Source organism: Homo sapiens, chromosome 6 (genome assembly GCF_000001405.40).
Source record: "Homo sapiens chromosome 6, GRCh38.p14 Primary Assembly".
Taxonomy (NCBI): Eukaryota; Metazoa; Chordata; class Mammalia; order Primates; family Hominidae; genus Homo; species Homo sapiens.
In genome coordinates this window covers 141907008-141921887 of record NC_000006.12, presented here as the reverse complement: position 1 = coordinate 141921887, position 14880 = coordinate 141907008, and the positions used below count along the sequence as shown (strand labels likewise).

The following is a 14880-nucleotide window of genomic DNA, read 5'->3' as shown; positions in this document are numbered from 1 at the left end:
TCTTTAGTTTAATTAGATCCCATTTGTCAATTTTGTCTTTTGTTGCCATTGCTTTTGGTGTTTTGGACATGAAGTTCTTGCCCATGCCTGTGTCCTGAATGGTAATGCCTAGGTTTTCTTCTAGGGTTTTTATGGTTTTAGGTCTAACGTTTAAGTATTTAATCCATCTTGAATTGATTTTTGTATAAGGTGTAAGGAAGGGATCCAGTTTCAGCTTTCTACATATGGCTAGCCAGTTTTCCCAGCACCATTGATTAAATAGGGAATCCTTTCCCCATTGCTTGTTTTTCTCAGGTTTGTCAAAGATCAGAGAGTTGTAGATATGTGGCGTTATTTCTGAGGGCTCTGTTCTGTTCCATTGATCTATATCTCTGTTTTGGTACCAGTACCATGCTGTTTTGGTTACTGTAGCCTTGTAGTATAGTTTGAAGTCAGGTAGTGTGATGCCTCCAGCTTTGTTGTTTTGGCTTAGGATTGACTTGGCGATGCAGGCTCTTTTTTGGTTCCATATGAACTTTAAAGGAGTTTTTTCCAATTCTGTGAAGAAAGTCATTGGTAGCTTCATGGGGATGGCATTGAATCTGCAAATTACCTTGGGCAGTATGGCCATTTTCATGATATTGATTCTTCCTACCCATGAGCATGGAATGTTCTTCCATTTGTTTGTATCCTCTTTGATTTCCTTGAGCAGTGGTTTGTAGTTCTCCTTGAAGAGGTCCTTCACATCCCTTGTAAGTTGGATTCCTAGGTATTTTATTCTCTTTGAAGCAATTGTGAATGGGAGTTCACTCATGATTTGGCTCTCTGTTTGTCTGTTGTTGGTGTATAAGAATGCTTGTGATTTTGTACATTGATTTTGTATCTTGAGGCTTTGCTGAAGTTGCTTATCAGCTTAAGGAGATTTTGGGCTGAGACGATGGGGTTTTCTAGATATACAATCATGTCGTCTCCAAACAGGGACAATTTGACTTCCTCTTTTCCTAATTGAATACCCTTTATTTCCTTCTCCTGCCTAATTGCCCTGGCCAGAACTTCCAACACTATGTTGAATAGGAGTGGTGAGAGAGGGCATCCCTGTCTTGTGCCAGTTTTCAAAGGGAATGCTTCCAGTTTTTGCCCATTCAGTATGATATTGGCTGTGGGTTTGTCATAGATAGCTCTTATTATTTTGAAATACGTCCCATCAATACCTAATTTATTGAGAGTTTTTAGCATGAAGGGTTGTTGAATTTTGTCAAAGGCTTTTTCTGCATCTATTGAGATAATCATGTGGTTTTTGTCTTTGGCTCTGTTTATATGCTGGATTACATTTATTGATTTGCGTATATTGAACCAGCCTTGCATCCCAGGGATGAAGCCCACTTGATCATGGTGGATAAGCTTTTTGATGTGCTGCTGGATTCGTTTTGCCAGTATTTTATTGAGGATTTTTGCATCAATGTTCATCAAGGATATTGGTCTAAAATTCTCTTTTTTGGTTGTGTCTCTGCCCGGCTTTGGTATCAGAATGATGCTTTCCTCATAAAATGAGTTAGGGAGGATTCCCTCTTTTTCTATTGATTGGGATAGTTTCAGAAGGAATGGTACCAGTTCCTCCTTGTACCTCTGGTAGAATTCGGCTGTGAATCCATCTGGTCCTGGACTCTTTTTGGTTGGTAAACTATTGATTATTGCCACAATTTCAGCTCCTGTTATTGGTCTATTCAGAGATTCAACTTCTTCCTGGTTTAGTCTTGGGAGAGTGTATGTGTCGAGGAATTTATCCATTTCTTCTAGATTTTCTAGTTTATTTGTGTAGAGGTGTTTGTAGTATTCTCTGATGGTAGTTTGTATTTCTGTGGGATCGGTGGTGATATCCCCTTTATCATTTTTTTATTGTGATTATTTGATTCTTCTCTCTTTTTTTCTTTATTAGTCTTGCTAGCGGTCTATCAATTTTGTTGATCCTTTCAAAAAACCAGCTCCTGGACTCATTAATTTTTTGAAGGGTTTTTTGTGTCTCTATTTCCTTCAGTTCTGCTCTGATTTTAGTTATTTCTTGCCTTCTGCTAGCTTTTGAATGTGTTTGCTCTTGCTTTTCTAGTTCTTTTAATTGTGATGTTAGGGTGTCAATTTTGGATCTTTCCTGCTTTCTCTTGTGGGCATTTAGTGCTATAAATTTCCCTCTACACACTGCTTTGAATGTGTCCCAGAGATTCTGGTATGTTGTGTCTTTGTTCTCGTTGGTTTCAAAGAACGTCTTTATTTCTGCCTTCATTTCGTTATGTATCCAGTAGTCATTCAGGAGCAGGTTGTTCAGTTTCCATGTAGTTGAGCGGTTTTGAGTGAGATTCTTAATCCTGAGTTCTAGTTTGATTGCAATGTGGTCTGAGAGATAGTTTGTTATAATCTCTGTTCTTTTACATTTGCTGAGGAGAGCTTTACTTCCAAATATGTGGTCAATTTTGGAATAGGTGTGGTGTGGTGCTGAAAAAAATGTATATTCTGTTGATTTGGGGTGGAGAGTTCTGTAGATGTCTATTAGGTCCGCTTGGTGCAGAGCTGAGTTCAATTCCTGGGTATCCTTGTGGACTTTCTGTCTTGTTGATCTGTCTAATGTTGACAGTGGGGTGTTAAAGTCTCCCATTATTAATGTGTGAGAGTCTAAGGCTCTTTGTAGGTCACTCAGGACTTGCTTTATGAATCTGGGTGCTCCTGTATTGGGTGCATATATATTTAGGATAGTTAGCTCTTCTTGTTGAATTGATCCCTTTACCATTATGTAATGGGCTTCTTTGTCTCTTTTGATCTTTGTTGGTTTAAAGTCTGTTTCATCAGAGACTAGGATTGCAACCCCTGCCTTTTTTTGGTTTCCATTTGCTTGGTAGATCTTCCTCCATCCTTTTATTTTGAGCCTATGTGTGTCTCTGCACATGAGATGGGTTTCCTGGATACAGCACACTGATGGGTCTTGACTCTTTATCCAATTTGCCAGTCTGTGTCTTTTAATTGAAGCATTTAGTCCATTTACATTTAAAGTTAATATTGTTATGTGTGAATTTGATCCTGTCATTATGATGCTAGCTGGTTATTTTGCTCGTTAGTTGATGCAGTTTCTTCCTAGTCTTGATTGTCTTTACATTTTGGCATGATTTTGCAGCAGCTGGTACCGGTCCTTTCCATGTTTAGCGCTTCCTTCAGGAGCTCTTTTAGGGCAGGCCTGGTGGTGACAAAATCTCTCAGCATTTGCTTGTCTGTAAAGTATTTTATTTCTCCTTCACTTATGAAGCTTAGTTTGGCTGGATATGAAATTCTGGGTTGAAAATTCTTTTCTTTAAGAATGTTGAATATTGGCCCCCACTCTCTTCTGGCTTGTAGGGTTTCTGCCGAGAGATCCGCTGTTAGTCTGATGGGCTTCCCTTTGAGGGTAACCCGACCTTTCTCTCTGGCTGCCCTTAACATTTTTTCCTTCATTTCAACTTTGGTGAATCTGACAATTATGTGTCTTGGAGTTGCTCTTCTCGAGGAGTATCTTTGTGGCGTTCTCTGTATTTCCTGAATCTGAAAGTTGGCCTGCCTTGCTAGATTGGGGAAGTTCTCCTGGATAATATCCTGCAGAGTGTTTTCCAACTTGGTTCCATTCTCCCCATCACTTTCAGGTACACCAATCAGACGTAGATTTGGTCTTTTCACATAGTCCCATATTTCTTGGAGGCTTTGCTCATTTCTTTTTATTCTTTTTTCTCTAACCTTCCCTTCTCGCTTCATTTCATTCATTTCATCTTCCATCGCTGATACCCTTTCTTCCAGTTGATCGCATCGGCTCCTGAGGCTTCTGCATTGTTCACATAGTTCTCGAGCCTTGGTTTTCAGCTCCATCAGCTCCTTTAAGCACTTCTCTGTATTGGTTATTCTAGTTATACATTCTAAATTTTTTTTAAAGTTTTCAACTTCTTTGCCTTTGGTTTGAATGTCCTCCCGTAGCTCAGAGTAATTTGATTGTCTGAAGCCTTCTTCTCTCAGCTCGTCAAAGTCATTCTCCATCCAGCTTAGTTCCGTTGCTGGTGAGGAACTGCGTTCCTTTGGAGGAGGAGAGGCGCTCTGCGTTTTAGAGTTTCCAGTTTTTCTGTTCTGTTTTTTCCCCATCTTTGTGGTTTTATCTACTTTTGGTCTTTGATGATGGTGATGTACAGATGGGTTTTTGGTGTGGATGTCCTTTCTGTTTGTTAGTTTTCCTTCTAGCAGACAGGACCCTCAGCTGCAGGTCTGTTGGAATACCCTGCTGTGTGAGGTGTGAGTGTGCCCCTGCTGGGGGGTGCCTCCCAGTTAGGCTGCTCAGGGGTCAGGGTTCAGGGACCCACTTGAGGAAGCAGTCTGCCCGTTCTCAGATCTCCAGCTGCGTGCTGGGAGAACCACTGCTCTCTTCAAAGCTGTCAGACAGGGACATTTAAGTCTGCAGAGGTTACTGCTGTCTTTTTGTTTGTCTGTGCCCTGCCCCCAGAGGTGGAGCCTACAGAGGCAGGCAGGCCTCCTTGAGCTGTGGTGGGCTCCACCGAGTTCCAGCTTCCTGCTGCTTTGTTTACCTAAGGAAGCCTGGGCAATGGCGGGCGCCCCTCCCCCATGCTCGCTGCTGCCTTGCAGTTTGATCTCAGACTGCTGTGCTAGCAATGAGCGAGACTCCGTGGGCATAGGACCCTCCGAGCCAGGTGCGGGATATAATCTCGTGGTGCGCCGTTTTTTAAGCTGGTCCGAAAAGCGCAATATTCGGGTGGGAGTGACCCGATTTTCCAGGTGCGTCCGTCACCCCTTTCTTTGACTCAGAAAGGGAACTCCCTGACCCCTTGTGCTTCCCAAGTGAGGCAATGCCTCGCCGTGCTTTGGCTCGTGCATGCTGCGCGCACTCACTGACCTGCGCCCACTGTCTGGCACTCCCTAGTGAGATGAACCCGGTACCTCAGGTGGAAATGCAGAAATCACCAGTCTTCTGCGTCACTCACGCCTGGAGCTGTAGACTGGAGCTGTTCCTATTCGGCCATCTTGGCTCCGAGTTTCAGTTCTTTAATACTTTTTGAGAGGCCTGATGGTCCTTTCCTGAGGAAGAAACTCAGATAAAACAAATGTAAGTTTCAAGCTTTAAGATCAGAAGGTCAATTTATATGTTTATCGGGGGGAAAAAAACAAACAAAACTAAACAAAAAACCACGAAACAGTCTATGGGACTATTAGGTTGGTTTTAACACTTTCCCATTACCTCTCTGTCTTAATTCTGTGCTCTTCCTCCCTTGATCATTAAATTCATCCATACCGGCCTCCTTATTGTTTCTTGAAAATGCTAGGTTGACTCACATCTCAAGGATGTGGTTTTCTTCTTTTAAGAACTCTCTCTCCCAGATATCCACATGACATTTTCCCTCATTTAAATATTTTTGCTTAAAAAGTCACCTTCTCAGTGAGACATTCTCTGATTATCCTATTTAAAATAGTTACCAGTACTGCCAAACCATGTTCCTCCTATGGCATTTTGGTCTTCATTTTTAGCTTCATTTCATTCCATTTAATCAGCATGATGTATTATACATTTTTAAATAAAATTTTTGAAGTACCGTATACATATGACAGTCACAATCTATAAATATAACAGTCACAATCTATAAATATACAGCTCAATGCGTACACCAAAGTGAATCAACACTTATAATCAGAACCCAGAACAATTAACAAAATATTATTACCACCCCAAAATCTTAATTATCCCCTTCTAGTCACTGCCATGCCAGCCAGTGGTAACCACTATCCTGATTTCTAATACTATAGACTAGGTTTTTTCTACCTTTAAACTCTATATAAGTGAAATAAGACATAAGATTCATATTTTCTTATTTTTGTATTCAAATATTATACTTGTGAGATTCATTACTATCGATGCAGTTGTACTCTGTTCAATTTCGTTGTTGTGTGGTGTTCCATTGTATAAATTCAAGACAATATATCCATTCTAATGAGCATTTGGAATTTTTCTAGTGTGGGGCCAATAATATTGCTATCAATGCTGCTGTATTTTTTTGATACTTGATCTTATATATTTGTGTAAACACTACCATACGTGTATTTGGTATTACATATTTCTGTTTATTATGTATATTCAGGAGTAAAATTGCTGGATTTCTAATATTCTATTTATTTGATTTGTTTATTGTCTGTTTTTCAAGATGTGAGTTTAATGAGTACGAAGGTTTTTGTCTATAATATCTAGAGTTGGGGTAGAGAAGACTTTCTCAGAGAAGCAAATTTGGGTTGAAATGTTAAAGTTAAGTAGATAGTTTATTATATAAGAAGGTTGGAAAAAATCTTTTCTCAAGCAGAAGAAAAAGCGTGTTGAAAAGCTTGGAGGTGGCAGAGTATATGCATTTGAGAAAATGAAAGACGTGTGTGGTGTTTAGGGAGTGAGGAGGTCAAAAAATGAGAGCATATTTTAGAAGATTCTAAAGGCTTTTATCAAGTCTTAAAATATTCTCACAGTTTTACTCATTATATTTAAACTAGTGGAAATGTGTTGCTTATAGGATAACTCATAATCGTATTTTCATTTGAAACAAAAGCCGTGGCACAGAAGTGGGGTTATAAGTGGGGAGATAGAAACTGACTAGGAGGATTTTTAGCAGGGTTAGTAAAAAAACAATCAAGGTTGAAGAGAAAAGATGTTTTGAAAGGTATTTAGTATTTAAACTGTTAATTAATTGATCATGGTGGCTGAGATATTTTTCTAGGATGCTTTAGGCTTTTTTTTGGGGAAAAAAAACCAGATTAAGATGTATTTAAGACATTCAAGGGAAGATGCAGATGTATGTACATCTCCAAGGAAGAGTATCAGCTGAAGATGTAACATTGGGTATTATTTGTAATATAGTAAATAAATATGATATCTTATTTGAAGATGCCTAATACCCAAGATCAAGTTTGGAGCATTTTCAATGTCTATATTGTGTCTAGGGGAACACAGGCCAGCACATGTGCCTAAGAAAAAAAACGTCCAGAGATGCGGAAGAACAGCTAGGTAAATATAGAAAGGGAATGTTCCAAGGGAGAAAACTCAGTGACTAACACCATTATCATCACACACTTACCACTATCTGACATTATTTTTGTCCATTTGTTTGATGTTCATTGTCAGTCTCCCACTTACTAGAATGTAAGCTCCATGAGAATAGGCACTTGCTGCTTCTGTTCATTTCTGCATTCTTAGTGCCTAGTACAGTGGTAGGTACTCACAAGTATTTGTTAAATTAATGTCAATGAAACAGTTTTCTTATTATGAAATTTCATATTTTCTTATTTTTGTATTCAAATATTATACTTGTGAGATTCATTACTATTGATGCAGTTGTACTCTGTTCTATTTCATTGTTATATGGTGTTCCATTGTATAAATTCACTACAATGTATCCATTATATCCACCTTTTTATATAATAAACTATCTACTAAACTTTAACATTTCAGCTCAAATTTGCTTCTCTAAGAAAGTCTTCTCTACCCCAACTCTAGATATTACAGACAAAAACCTTTGTGCTCATGTCCATTCAATTTAGCGATATGGTTGTTTCAGTGACATTTTCAAGAACTGTGCACTAGTTGGCTCTGGCTGTGAGAATAAAATACCGCAGGGTGTGTGGCTTAAACAACAGAAATTTATATTCTCATAATTTTGGCCATAGAAATCCCAGATCAAGATGCCAACAGATTCAATTTCTGGTGTGGCCCTTCTTTTGAGCGGGCAGACAGCCACTTTTTTATTGTGTCCTCATGTGGTGTTTCTTCTGTGTTTGCATGTATGGAGTGAGAGAGGGAGCCCTCCTGTGTATCTTCTAGCAATATGAATCCTATTATATCAGGGTTCTACTCTTACGACTTTATTTAACCTTAATTACTTCTTTAGGAAGAACACCGTCTCCAAACAGAGCCACACTGAGGATTAGAGCTTCCATATAGGAATTTGGTGGAGACACAAACTTTCATTCCATAACTAGCTGTGTAATAGAGAAGTGGAAACTCAGTTGGGCAGAGTTGGAGTGAATGGTGGGTCAGGAAGTGAAGTTAACGACTTTCCTGATGACAAGTTTGCGTGAGAAGGCATAGAGTAGGAAAAGCAACTGTTGGGAGATGTAGATTGGAGGTGGGTTTTTGTTCTGTTTGTTTATTTGTTTATTTTATTTATCTAGTAGGAAACATGAGATAAAGATAGCAAAAGAGAGCAAGGACAATAAATAGCATGTGTTTTCTGAGAAGGCTGAGGGGAAGAGATTCAGAGCACAGAGTGCTTGGCTTTAGGTACGAAGACGTGTGTTTTGTAACAATTAAAATGCAGGAGAAATTGGGTGCAGATACATTGAGGTTTAGAGGTCGAAAGAGTAAGACTTCCCATCTGATATTTCCATTCTTCCTCTATGGAGGAGAAGGCCTGGGCTTCACCCAAGTGTTAAGTGTTACAGATTCAATCGTGAGAAAAGGGTTTAATCAAGGAAACATATTAACTTCATAGGAAAACTTGTTTCAAGTGCATGCAATTATGCACTAAAGATGATCTCAGTTTGATGCTCCGTTATGCGATTTATTCTCAAGGTATCCAGCTTGGCGAGTAGAGATAAGAGAAAATAGATGGTTTCTACAGAGTTGTTACTTGTGGATTTGTTTACTAATTCTTATATGTTGTATTTTGTTTTGAGACAGGTTCAGAAAAGAGAGGAACAACTTAATTAGGAAATTAGAGTAGCAGTTAAATATGTCTATAGGGCTCATATAGTTTCTGGGCTTTAAAAAACTATCCAGGGTATTAAAAATATCTAGGAAAGAATTTTGCCTTATGTTTCAAAGAGCATAGAAAAGACTAGCTGCATTTTAAAATGTCTTCTCTGTTATTAGCTCATAGCATCCCATCCTTTCCCTTCATAATAATTAGTACTAATTGCAATATATGTATTTATTTGTGTATTTATTTGTTCAATGTTTGTATCTTTTAGTAGAACATGAATCCATAATTGTAGGGATCTGTCCCTCTTATACTGTTGGTGCTCAAGGATATTTATTATGTTGAATGAATGGAGCTCATATGATAATTTCCTCCTATTAGCATAAAGGTTCTGTTCAAGTCCAGAATTTCTTCTTGTTATGTGCTAATTGTTTTCAAATTGGTGTTTAATGAAAAGAGAGTAGGCTTTGGAGTCTGAGTAATCTTATGTAAGTTGCACAGTCTCAGTTTTCTCATTTGTAGAAATGATGCATCAGAAAAGAAAAGGTTGCTATCTAGAGAAGAAATAACAATTGAAGTCACACTACATTTCATGGATGATGGATAATTTAATCTAAAATAACGAGGTTATAAGAGATTAGCTCTATGTAGTCTTAGGGAAAAAAAGTTGAGAAAAAAAGAATTTAATTCTGCATAATAAAGAACTAAGAAATGGTGAGCAATATGTTAGTTCCCAGTAGAGTTGTTTTGGGGAGGCTCAGAAAGACATTTGGCTGGAAGAAATGGAGTCTTGGAATTCTGGTGTCAGACTAGGGCTGTGGAACCTCATAGCTGGTTAAAAACTCCCTTATGGAAGTGATAAAAATAATAAATGACGTGTGATATTTGATTTTAAATAGTTGCTGATGTGTTTTGTAATTTATCTTCCTCATCCAGAGACCTTGATAAGTTTGTTACCAATAGCTTGTGTGTGATTTACTGCCTTAGGTAACTCAGATGAAAAGGTCATGATTTCCTATGGAGCAATATGATGTTGTGAGATGATAGTAGTCACAAGACTGGTGGAGAGACAGCCAGAGTAATACACAAAATTCTAACCAAGAGATTATCACATCAGCTGAATACCGGAATCCAAATACATATTGAGGCCTCTTGAGTTTTCACAATTAGGAGGATGGGATAGGCTCATATTGTTTTACTTGACTACTTAAAGAATAATCCATGTCAGAATGTTTTAGGTTACATGGAATTCATAACATCTACATTGTAGGATTCGTTGCCAGGAATAATAGATAATGCCAGCACAACTGTTAGCATGTGCAGCAATTTTGTGCAGATTAGCAAAAAAAAAAAGCATCCTCTTTTGGTGGATGAATTAGAAAAAGGTACCACTTTGGGATAGATGCATCCTGCTGTAAAGAGCATAACCCTAGCTAGACTATGTAGGTTTCCCTGCCTTTGTGGCTGGTCACTTGTGAACAGTCCCAAAACTGCACAGTCTTAGCATGGTAGCCTTTGGATAATGTAAATGCCAGGTATAGAGTAGACACACAACAGAAATGGTAACAACTAAAATTACTCTGGATTACATTAGACCGTGATTTAATGCATATTTCTGGAAATAATAACGATATGCTGACTATAAAATGATTTTCCATTTTTTCCTGCAATAAATCTAAGTTCAAGTATGTGTATGTGTGTGTACTTACTTGTGTATGTATGTGTGTGTGTATCTATGCGTGTGTGTATCTTTGCATGCATGTGTGTATAAGCCTGGCTACAAAGTAGATTCATTGTATTTCTTTGAACTTGCTGATGTAAAATACATGTAGAATAGACACTTTGACTCATCTCCACTAACTTCTGCAAATACAAATGCATTCTACATTGGTAATAGATGTTTTAATAGAGTTCTTTTAGAGAAGAACTCACAAAGTATTTCAATTTAGTTTTAATTATCACTCTAGGATAGCTTTTCTTCTCACTACAATCTGAGCTATAAAGACAGCTCAGACTTCTGGAATTGGGGTGACCGTGAGATCAGGCTTTGAGCTTTGAATGTTTTGTTACAAGCCAACCTCCTGCAGATCTCTCTGCAGTGCTATATTGACTTTTGTGAATAGATCCTCAGATGCAGTTTTGACTTTTGTGCTTCTGTGACCTTGGAGCACACCTGGAGAGGTGCAGCTATGCACTTTTTTTTTTTTGTCTTGCACCTCTCTATCCGAAATCCACATGATCTTACTGGTCTATAGTTAAGTATCTTAGACATAATGTGGCTACATAAATCCTGTATAGAACTAAGGGTGTTTTAAGTGAAATATTACATGATTTGACATTATGCTTTCCAATTTCTTCTTCTAGAATTTATTTACAATTCTCCTAATTACTTGGTAAACTGAAATTTTTCAGAGTAAAGAATTAAAACAGCTTTCTTAATAGATAGTGCTATAGACTGCATGTTTGTATCCCCCACCCAAAATTCATATGTTGTAGCCTAATCCCCATTGTGGTGGTTTTAAGAGGTGGGGCCTGTGGGAGGTGATTAGGTCGTGAGAGTGGCACCTTCATGAATAGGATTAGTGCCTTTATACAAAGAAATATGAGAGAAATTATTTCTGTCTTGGCCACATGAGTATATGTTAAAAAGGATGCTGTCTACAAGCCAGGAAGCAGGCCCTCACCAGATATAGACTCTTCTGGAGCCTAGACCTGGGACTTCTCTGCTTCCAGATGTGTGAGAAATAAATGTCTCTTGTTTAAGCCACCAAGACTATAGTATTTTTGTTATAGTGGCCTGTCCTGTCAAAGATGGATAGCATCAGGCATTATTTATGTTTAACCTTCTTGGGAAGGACATAGATTTAGAAAATGAGTTTTGTAGTCAGTTTTGATGGGAAATATGCTTCTGGCTACATATAAATATGCATCTAAATTCATCTAAATTCTCATCCTGTAAGGTAGTAGAAATGACATTTGTTAATTTAACTTGAATAGTAAATAATGGAATCACAGCATTTAAAAACATTAAAAACAAAGCTGATGACAACATTACACAGTTCAAACAAGATAAACAGGTTCTTTGTACATAATAATATGGTGTTATTGCAATTGTTTACCCAGCATTGATTTCCTTTTTATTCTTTCTAACAGAATGCTGACTTGGTTTATGTATCTATCTCTTTCCCACACCATCTATGCCTCAGAGAAATCTTCACAAACTCAGCTTCAAGGATGGGTCAGAGCCTTGGAAACTGCATCTGCCTGGTCAGTGATCAGCTCAAGTATAATCTTGAGATCCAATGTTGTCCAGTGAAATGTGAGATTAGTTTTGCTTTTAGGAATGTTTTGCTCAGGCCTTAAGTCAGTGAACCCAGCTCTCTCCCTGTGGCTAAATATGAGCAAGGAGATATAAAGTTACTGGCAGCCATTGTACAATCTCATTTACCCCTAAATCAAACAACCGAAGTCCGACCTACCTCTGGATTTGCTCTCAAGTGAGCTAATGTGTTTTCTCATTGTTAATCAAGTTCAGTTCACTGGGATAAACACTAAAGGAATGATAGTAAAAACATTGTCGCCCAAATCTATGCAGAGATAAAAACTGATAAACATTATGAAAGCAAAACAAAGCAAAACTAGATTTGGGGAGGGAATTTAGAATGGGCATTAGAGAAGGCCTCTTTGTGGAGATCACATTTAAGTCGAGATCCAAAGTATAATTTTGTTAGGTGAAGAGCTGGGGAATGAACATTTCATGCAAAGACTCTGAGGAGGAAAATTTGGTGACACTTTTGAGGAACTTAAGAACACTTACCATGCTATCATTAAGGGTAAGGAGCAGGCAGGGCAACAGGAAATTGGTATAAAATCAGGCTAGGGATATAAGCAATAGACAGACATGACAGGTCATTTAGGCATCCTAAAAAATTTTGGAGAAATAATAAATTCAATCAAATATTAAAATATTTTGTAAGTTTAATTGCATATAGCTCTTTCAAGTTGTCCCTGGGCCCATATTAATAACCACAACAAGGGGAGGGTGTTGGAAGGCAAATGTGTGAACAAGCAAGGTGTACATCCCACTTGGTTCCACTGTCCTTCCATTTTCTTTCTTTGTTGCTGGTGTTACAATGACCACATATTTTGCTGTGGAGTTTTATTTCTTTTATTTCCAATTTAATTAATTCAATTCTGAAATATGAGAAAAAATTTATACTGCCCAGTTTTTGGTTAACCTAAACGAAGAGTTCTGTTCAATTTCTGTGGGTTGGTTGGATAAAGATGACAAAGATTTATGCTCACTTACAAGCTTGTATGTATCTTTCTTTTTATTATAAGCATGGGAAGGCATTTAGTTTGTGGCTTACTATGATACCATACATATATAACTCTTGAATAAAAACCCAGAAGAACAAGTAACTCAGAACAGTGAACCTGCCTGCTGGTCCTTCTTTATCCTTGCACTCATGAGTCTATCATGACTATGACAGAATCTCAATAATCTCAATAATCTCATACTGGTGGGAAAACAGAGAAGCAGAACTTATCAAGACTGGACCTAGAAAATCTTATGAGGTAGGAGGTGGGACACAACTCTGCAGGCAGGGCTTAGACACCTGACCAAATTGAGGACTGTCTATTAATGGGGAAGGGGTGGAAGCAGCTTTCCATAAGATATGCCCACTAGTGTGCCATGTCAGTCTACCATTGCCGTGGCAACACCTGGAAGTTACTGCCCCTTTCCGTGGCAACAATCAGGAAATTTCTGTATAATCTGCCCCTTAGTTTGCATGCACCTAAAAGTAGGTATAAATATGACAGCAGAACTGCCTTTCAGCTGCTACTCTGGACACACTGCCAATCGGGTATCCCTGCTTTGCAAGGAACAGTGCCTCTGCTGCTGTTGCTGTACATGGCTGCTTCAATTAAAGTTGCTATCTGACACCACCAGCTTGCCATTGAATTCTTTCCTGGGTGAAGTCAAAAACCCTCCCAGGATAAGCCCCAAGTTTTGGGCTTGCCTGCCCTGTGTCACTTATACAGGTGAATGGCTCTTCCTTGAGTGAGATGGCTAGTAGGAGTCTAAATTATAGGGTCCACTGAAGAATAATATTTGTTCTTCATGTGACAATTGAAATATAAAAAGTCTGTATCTGAGATACAGTTGTCAGATTTTTCAAAATTAAGTAGAGAAGAATTTTATACTTTAGTAAGAACCATATGGATTATGGAATAGAGTTCCCCCTCCTAAGCCCTTGCCAAAAATAAAAATAAAAATTAAAAAAAGCAAAGGTATTGTCAAAGGCTAAAAAGAATAAAAAATAGGTTGGCAATCAGCCAAGACTTTAAATCTAGTGGTAGAAATGGAGAGATGGTGAAACTCTGGAAGATGGCCAATTGAAAATAGAACAGGAACCAGTTGTAATATTTTACTGTTTTTTTGATTAACAAGTTAAATAAAATACATGTTCAAAAATGTAGCTATAACAACACAACTGCAATGATAACAAAAACTACTAAAGCTGTTACTGCTACCATTTATTTATGCTAAGCACACTGTATAAGTATTGTTTCTCTCACAATAGAGCTACCCCTGTCAGGTAGATGAGTAAGTAGTTAGCCATTATTCATTGGAGGGGAAAGAAATCTAAAGTAAATTATTCTTTGAGGAATGTCCCTTATTACCTTACTGTGATCAAATTCACATACTTTAAATATGTTATATATCTGCCTTTTTTACTTGAAAGGCAAAAGAATTGAAAGTTTAACTGTGTTTCTATATATCATAAATAATAACTCCTAGAACTTGTCCCACAAATTCCAAATACTGAATTAACCTGAAGGAATTATCACTGCTGTGGACCACAGGCCCTGTGTTGTTGAGTACAAAGTGTTTGATAGGGATTTCATACAGCTTGACAAAATTCATTCATTACCAACTGACTAAGGGTCACTAGGCACAAAGAAATTAAGGAATTTCCTCAATATCATAATTGGGGGATACCAACAATGATTACATATTTATAGAGGGTATTGGAAGAAAAATGAGAAAAACATAAACAATATTTTAGATAGTAATGAGTACTCAAAATCTGTTAATTAGTTGTTAAAAATGAATTTCCCAAACTTAAAATCTTTTTAAACAAACAGTTCA

At 37.8% G+C, this 14880-nt stretch overlaps 1 long non-coding RNA gene across 1 annotated transcript in view; it reads left to right on the top strand.

Annotated features, from left to right (window-relative positions):
• LOC105378031 (uncharacterized) overlaps positions 1–14880 on the top strand; it is a 181459-nt gene that overhangs the window by 108539 nt on the left and 58040 nt on the right. The window contains exon 2 of the long non-coding RNA XR_943079.3: positions 11877–11990. This is a non-coding gene — a long non-coding RNA (uncharacterized LOC105378031). The remainder of the gene's footprint in view (positions 1–11876; positions 11991–14880) is intronic.